This window comes from Homo sapiens, chromosome 1 (assembly GCF_000001405.40).
Source record: "Homo sapiens chromosome 1, GRCh38.p14 Primary Assembly".
Classification (NCBI taxonomy): Eukaryota; Metazoa; Chordata; class Mammalia; order Primates; family Hominidae; genus Homo; species Homo sapiens.
In genome coordinates, this window is record NC_000001.11 from 39,934,342 (window position 1) to 39,939,183 (window position 4,842).

Consider the following 4,842-nt stretch of genomic DNA (forward strand, 5'->3'; position numbering starts at 1 on the left):
ATTTCCTGATATTTCCCAACATTTAACATGTTTCCTCATCCCGCTGTGGCTTTGCACATGTGGTTTGTTCTGCCTGGATTGCCCTTCACTCCCCATCTGCCTGGCAAACTTGCCCTTTGAGCCTCAGCTAACGCCTGGTCTCCTTGAGGCGCTTGCCTGGACCTCCCACACTGGATGAGACTCCTCCTCTGGTCTTGCGCATGACCAGGGCTCATTGCACAACCCCAGAGGAGACGAGTCATACGGACCCCCAGAGTTGTGCAATGTGGCAACTTTGCCCATATTTTTCCTCTGTTTTCTTCTATCATAATTTTTATCACACTCTTACTGCAATGATTTATTTACCTGTTGGTTTCTCCCTCAGACTCTGAACTCCTCGAGGACTCTGACACAGAGTCAGGGCTCAGTAAGTGCCTGCCTGAATGAAGGGATCCTGGCCCAGTTCCTGAACCCAGAAGCTGCAGCCTGGTCAGGGAGACAGAATGAATCAACGTGAGACATGTCAAGAACTGAGCATGACTAGAGGTTCACACCCCTGAGGCTTTCCTAGGAGAGACCAACAGAGCTGTAAGGGAGGATGTGGTGGTCAGAGTGGGAGACTGGAGTGGAGATGGAAAGAATGAGGAGGTACTTAGAAAATCCAATAGCGGTCGGGCGTGATGGCTCACGCCTGTAATCCCAGCACTTTGGGAGGCCGAGGCGAGCAGATCACCTGAGGTCAGGAGTTCGAGACCAGCCTGGCTAACATGGTGAAACCTCATCTCTACTAAAAATACAAAAAATTAGACGAGCATGATGGTGTGCACTTGTAATCCCAGCTACTCGGGAGGCTGAGGCAGGAGAATCACTTGAACCCAGGAGGTGGAGGTTGCAGTGAGCCGAGATTGCGCCATTGCATTCCAGCTTGGGCAAAAAGAATGAAACTCTGTCTCAAAAAAAAAAAAAAAAAGAGAAAAACCAATAGCTAACACTTCTGGATTGTTCTGCTTAGGGGTGGAAGAATTTCAGCCCCCTCCCCCATGATTTTCATCTGGTCTAAGGTAAAGAAAGTACATTTCAAAGCTCTTACAAGGACATTATGTATCCAGGGAGGGCCACTGTGGGTTGATGCTCTTTACTAGGCCCATTTTTTGCACAGGATAGGTGGAGGCACAGCCTGGAAGCAGGACAATGCACCCAGAGCATCTGACATCACCCTGAAAAATAATTTGAGTGTTAGCCCCACTGCAGGCAGGGATCAGACTATAGGGCTCTTAGGAAAATGTTTCTCTTCCTCAGGATGGATTTAGACTGCATCTTTGCTGAGAATAAACACTTGTCTTTTGTAAGGGTGTATGTGTCTGTATATTGGATCTGCATTTAAGCACCCTACGGTCATCCTCACTTGCTCTAAAAGGCCAAGTCTGAACAATGAGGAGGAGGCATAGCTCATCACTTCTCATTGGTAGAAAGACATTAAAGGAACAGGACCACGAGGATCAAAATTGCCAAGCCTACCCTAGACTGTTTGGCTGAAACCTATTTTCTGCACCCTTCCATCCTCCTTCTTTGATACTATTCTAGACTCATGGGAAGAAGAAATACTCCTACTAAGTGTTTCTTATCCTTTTGATCCTATTGCATGTGGCTTACTAGGTGAGGTTTCCTGCACAGAGTCTGGTGGATATTTTGCCCAGTGGAGAACTGAAAAGGTAGTCTTTTTGTGGGTGTGGAGAGGGAGGATCTGAGATGAGAGAACAAAGTTAGGAACCAAGTGTACCCATGAGGGACGCTGTGAAAAACTATAACAGGTTTTGGTTGTTTTTTCCTTGGGCAGTTATGTGATATGTGCAATTTTAAATTATTTCTTCTAGTTGTATTTTCCTACAAGAATTCCTGCCTCTTCGGGAAGTCTTGCATGCACATGGGCCTTGAGTTTGTGGCGCTAGAGGGGCAAGTCAGGGGGTGGGCAAATAAAGGGGGTGTAGCCCACTCCTGGCCGTCTCCTGTGGAAGTCTATGTTAAGGAAACTTCCTTGACAGGCGAGCGTGACCAGCAGTACAGCTGCGGATGAATCCTGCTGGGTGGGAGGCTCAGGCAGAGGTGGGAGGAAGGGGACCCTGACGGGGAACAAAAGGGGTGCAGTTTTCTGTAAAGGACAAGGCGATCAGGATAAGAGGCAGGGCTCCAGAAGAGGCTTAGGAGAGCCCTGGAGAGACTGTTCTGGGGACTGAGAGCTTCAAGTCTAATTCCTGGCTGGAATGGAGGGTGGGGCAAAGTCTCTGAGAATGAGGTAGGACAGTGATGGGGGGAGCTCCTCAGACTCAGTCCCGGGCCCTGGTTGCTGCCTACCCACCCTGCCTTCCCTCGTGGAGCCAGGCTGTGGGCCTGCGCTTAGGCTTCCTTACTGCTCTCTGCTCTGCAGAAACATCCTTGATAAGCAGGATGGCTTCTGGCCACCTCAGGATACACTCTTGTGCCACCTGCCCTATGCTTTACCTACCGCTTTTTCCTGGTGGCCAGGGGAGTCCTTACGCAGCTTGAGGAAGTCTACTACCACTTTCACTTTGACCATCTCTCCTAGAGGGAGGGGGCAAGGCTGAAAGTTTTGAGGAAGAGGAGTGGAGAGAAGGGACAGGCTCAGGAAGTTACCACTCTCCCTTCTGTGACCCTCTCCCCCAACCCCCACTTCCCATCATAAGCTTAGAGCCTGGAGTTTAGAGGACAGAGACCATAGCTTACTGCTTAAGGTCTAGAACCCAGCCCAGCCCAGCCCAGCCCAGAGCCTAGATCCAGAGCCCTGAGCTCAAAACCCATCCTAATGCTCATACCAAAACCTAGAGCCTAGAACCCAAAGCCCAAGCCAGGCTGGTCCTAGTCTAAGGTCCAGCTCAGAATCCAGAACTAAAGCCCAGAGCCCAGAACCCAGACCACAGAACTACAAGCACAACACAGTCCAGGCACAAAGTCCAGCCAGGTCCAAAGACCAGAGCTCAGAACTTGGAGCCAAGCCCAGGATCTACAGCCTAGCCCACAGACCCAGAGCCCAGAATTCAGACTAAAGCTAAGCCCAGTCTGGGGACCAGAGGAGCCCAGAGTCCAGCTCAGAACTCACTCCAAAGAACCTAGGATAGACTCCATCTTAGCTCCAGAACTGAGTCCAGCCTAATAGTCATTGTGGCCTAGAATCCTAACCCCAGCCTAGCAGTTCCTTGATGCTCCTCCTAGAGGCAGCCCCAAAGAAAGAAGCCAAGCCTGCACATTCAGGAGGGGAGATTCCAGACCCCAACCCTACTACTGGCAGGAGAAAACAAGGGAATGGTGTTTGTGTGTGTTAGAAGGGGAATGTTCTGTGGTCCTCCTGGTAGTGGTCTGGAGGGTATATCCTGGGGATTCAGAGACCAGGCAAAACATGGCCTGGGGTTTTCTCTGCAAGGGCTCCCCCTCAGAACCCCAAGGGGATAGAATGCAGAGGGCTGGCACTGCTAAATTGCAGTGTGACCTTGGACAAGGCCCTTACCTTCTCTGGGTTTACTTTTCCCAGAAAGGAAATCAAGAGGAAATCAGAAGATGCTTTATTTAGACCCACAGACCCAGAAACATGGAGGAAGGGACTATTACAGATAAGCCTTTTAATCGTGTCTTTTCTTTTTAGTGACAGGTCTTGCTATGTTGTTTAGGCTGGTCTTGAACTCCTGGGCTCAAGAAATCCTCCTGCCTCAGCCTCCCGGGTAGCTGAGACTATAGACATGCACTACCATGCCCAGCTAATTCATTTATTCTTTTATTCGTCAAACAGTTATTGAGCACATATAATAAGTAGATTTATATTATTTAATTTTTTAAATTTGTTTTAGAGACAGAGTCTTGCTGTGTTGCCTAGGATGGAGTGCAGTGGTGCCATCATAGCTCACTGCAGCCTCGAACTCCTGGGCCGAAGTGATCCTCCCGCCTCAGCTTCCTGAGTAGCTAGACTACAGGTGCACGTCACCATGCCCAGGTAATTATTTTATTTTTGTAGATACAGGATCTCAGTGTGTTGTCTGGGTTGGTCTTGAACCCCTGGGCTCATGCCATCCTCCCACCTCAGCCTCCCAAAGTGCTGGGATTACAGGTGCCGGCCCAATAAGTAGATTTTATTTTTTATTTTTCTTTTCTTTTTTTTTTTGTTGAGACTGAGTTTCACTCTTGTTGCCCAGGCTGGAGTGCAATGGTGCAATCTCAGCTCACTGCAACCTCCGCCTTCCAAGTTCAAGCGATTCTCATGCCTCAGTCTCCTGAGTAGCTGGGATTATAGGCATGTGCCACCACACCCGGCTAATTTTTTTGTATTTTTAGTAGAGACGGGGTTTCTCCACGTTGGTCAGGCTGGTCTCAAACTCCTGACCTCAGGTGATCCGCCCGCCTTGGCCTCCCAAAGTGCTGGGATTACAGGTGTGAGCCACCACGCCCAGTGACAGTAAGTAGATTTTAAACAGGGGCATAAAATGGTCTGATTTTATTTTAAAAATTGGTCTGTTTTTGGAGATGGGATCAGAGGGGAACACTTAGGCATTGCTGCAACAGTCCAGAAGAGATGGGATGAAGGTCTGAAGATAGCAAGTGGCAGTGTCATCTTTATAAAGCACAGATGTGGTCATTTGACTCTTCTGTTAAGAATCCTTTCGGTGGCTCCCCACAGTCTTCAGGATGAGAATGCAAGGCCTCCTTCTATCTTCTTGGCCTCAGGGGCCACCAGTTTCCCATACAGCAGCCCAAGCTGCTCACTGATTCCGCTCCCCACACCCTCCATCATGCCTCCATGTCTGTGGTGTTCCCTTTGCCGGGCATGCCCTTACCCATCACGGGAACTCCTTCTCAACC